Source organism: Homo sapiens, chromosome 6, assembly GCF_000001405.40.
Source record: "Homo sapiens chromosome 6, GRCh38.p14 Primary Assembly".
In the NCBI taxonomy this organism is placed as follows: Eukaryota; Metazoa; Chordata; class Mammalia; order Primates; family Hominidae; genus Homo; species Homo sapiens.
The window spans coordinates 7463108-7465720 of record NC_000006.12 but is presented as its reverse complement, the minus strand read 5'-3'; the positions used below and the strand labels follow the sequence as shown (position 1 = coordinate 7465720).

Below are 2613 nucleotides of genomic sequence, written 5' to 3'. Positions count from 1 at the left end.
AACACTTAGAATAGTCAGACTTTTTATTTTCTGGTAGTCTAGTGGAAAGCAAATTCCATCCCTACCCCTTTTATTAATTTATGTATTTTATCTTTTTTTTTTTTTTTGAGGCAGGGTCTCACTCTGTTGCCCAGACTGGAGTGCAGTGGAATGAACATGGCTCACTGCAGCCTCAGCCTCCCAGTCCCAAGCAATCGTCTCAAAGTAGCTGGGACTACAGATGCGCACCACCACGTCCAGCTAATTTTTGTGTTTTTTAGAGAGACAGGGTTTCGCCATGTTGCCCAGACTGGTCTAGAACTCCTGAGCTCAAGCGATCTGCTTTCCTCAGCCTCCCCAGTGTGTTGGGATTGTAAGCGTGACCCACTGTGCCCAGCGTATTTATTTTTAATTTTTTCAGCTTTATACTTTGTCAAGGCATACTTGACAAATAAAAATTGTCTATATTTAAGGTATACAATATGATATATATGGTGAAATGATTACCACTATCAAGCTAATTAATATATCCATCAACTCAAATGGTTATCCTTGTGTGTGTGGTGAGAACACTTAAGATCTATTCTCACAAATTTCAAGTATATAATACATTATTATTAACTATGTCAGCATGCTGTATATATGGTTTCCATCCTCCACTTTTTAAAAACAGCTTTATTGACATATAATTTATATACCATACAATTTACCCATTGAAGGTGTATAATTCAGTGACTTTTAGTATATTCACAGAATTATGCGTCCATCACCACAATTAATTGTAGAATATTTTCATTATCCCCAAAAGAAATTTCATTCCTCTTAGCTGCCACCTGCAATTCCTCTCTCCTCTCCTGAAGTCTCCCCTGCCTTAGGCAACCACTGATCCACTTCCTATGGCTATAGATTTGCCTATTCTGGACTTTTTATATAAGTAGAATTATATTTTCATTTTCTTCACAAATTCCTATAACCTGAAATGTAACACATCACACACCTTTTTGTAAATATTGGGAAATATTTCAGCATTTTATTGGTACCTATTTTAATTTAAATTTCCATTTCCCTAATTGCTAGCTAAGTCCAGCAATGTTTTCAAATGTTTATTGGCCATTTGGAATTTTTTTTTTTTTTGTGGAGACAGGGTCTTACTCTGTCACCCAGGCTGGAGGCACAATCTCAGTTCACTGCAACCTTTGCCTCCCAGGCTAAAGTGATCCTCCCACCTCAGCCTCCCGAGTAGCTGGGACTACAGGCCCACACCACCACACTGGGCTACTTTTTGTATTTTTAGTAGAAGCAGGATTTCGCCATGTTGGCCAAGCTGGTCTCGAACTCCTTACCTCAGGTGATCCACCTGCCTCAGCCTCCCAAAGTGCTGGGATTCCAGGCATGAGCCACCGCACCCAGCCTCCTCTTCTATAAACTGCCAATTTACATTCTTTTATCCAATTTTTGATAGGATTGCTTACCTTATCCTTATTTGTAGGAATTAGCTAATTAATCATATATTAATCCTTTTTGGTTATATATGTTGTAGTTCTTGTTGGAACGCCATCCTCCCTGGAGTTCTCAGTGTTCCTGAAACTTCTGGACCTTTCTGAGAAACAGAGAGTGACATGCTAAAAAGATAACGAATGCCTCCTTTTCCCCAGAACCATTTGCTTGCATTCCAAAGGATTGTAAAACCCCAGAGACCTTCCTCTCCTTTCTCCGGAATGGATTTGTGTTTGCCTTGGAGATCAAAGGTCTTTCCCTCCGCCTCCAGAGTGAGTGAGAGGCCCAGACATGCCAGCAGCATCTGGCTGTGCTCTGAGATGCATCATTTCCAAGCTCTTGCCTGTGGCACAGAGGCCTGTATCTGCAGGGTACATCTGGGTCACACTGTGCTGCCCTGTGGGAAACTGAGGGATGGGGAGTTGGCAATCAGACTGCTATTCGAGCAAATAATTGGTCTGTTTTCTGATCCAGAAACTTTGTTTCCAGACAGGATAAATCAATGAATATAGATATAAAAACCAAACAGATGTCTTCTCCTAGTCCATAGCTTGTCTTTTCCCATTGTTTGTGTTGTCTTTTTTAAAATATTGTGGTAAAATATATATACATAAAATTTACCATCTAAACTTTTTTTTTGAAACTCACTCTGTCACCCAGGCTGGACTGCAGTGGCACCATCTTGGCTCACTGCAACCTCTGCCTCCTACGTTCAAGCGATTCTCGTGCCTCAACCTCCTGAGTAGCTGGGACTACAGGCCCACACCAGCACACCTGGCTAATTTTTGTTTTTTTAGTAGAGGTGGAGTTTCACCATGTTGGCCAAGCTGGTCTTGAACTCCTGATTTTCCACCCGCCTCAGCCTCCCAAAGTGCTGGGGTTACAGGCGTGAGCCACCGCACCCGGCCTTAACTATTTTTAACTGCACAGTTCAGCGGCATTATGTACATTCACAATTTTGTGCAACCAACACTACCACCCATCTCCCGAATTTTTTCTTCTTCACAAGCGGAAACTGTCCCCATTAAACACTAACTCCCCTTTCTCTCCTCCCCAGTCCCCTGGCAACCATCATTCTACTTTCTGTCTCTATGAGTTTGACTACTGTAAGGACCTGATCTAAGTGGAATGACAATA

The 2613-nt window shown here is 41.7% G+C and overlaps 1 annotated feature.

Annotated features, from left to right (window-relative positions):
- Positions 820–1812: an enhancer, noted in NCBI's record as "NANOG-H3K27ac hESC enhancer chr6:7464142-7465134 (GRCh37/hg19 assembly coordinates)". NCBI's record gives its function as "activates a minimal SCP1, AML or CMV promoter by ChIP-STARR-seq in naive H9 embryonic stem cells {active_cell/tissue: H9 hESC(naive)}" and the evidence as "EXISTENCE:reporter gene assay evidence [ECO:0000049][PMID:30033119]".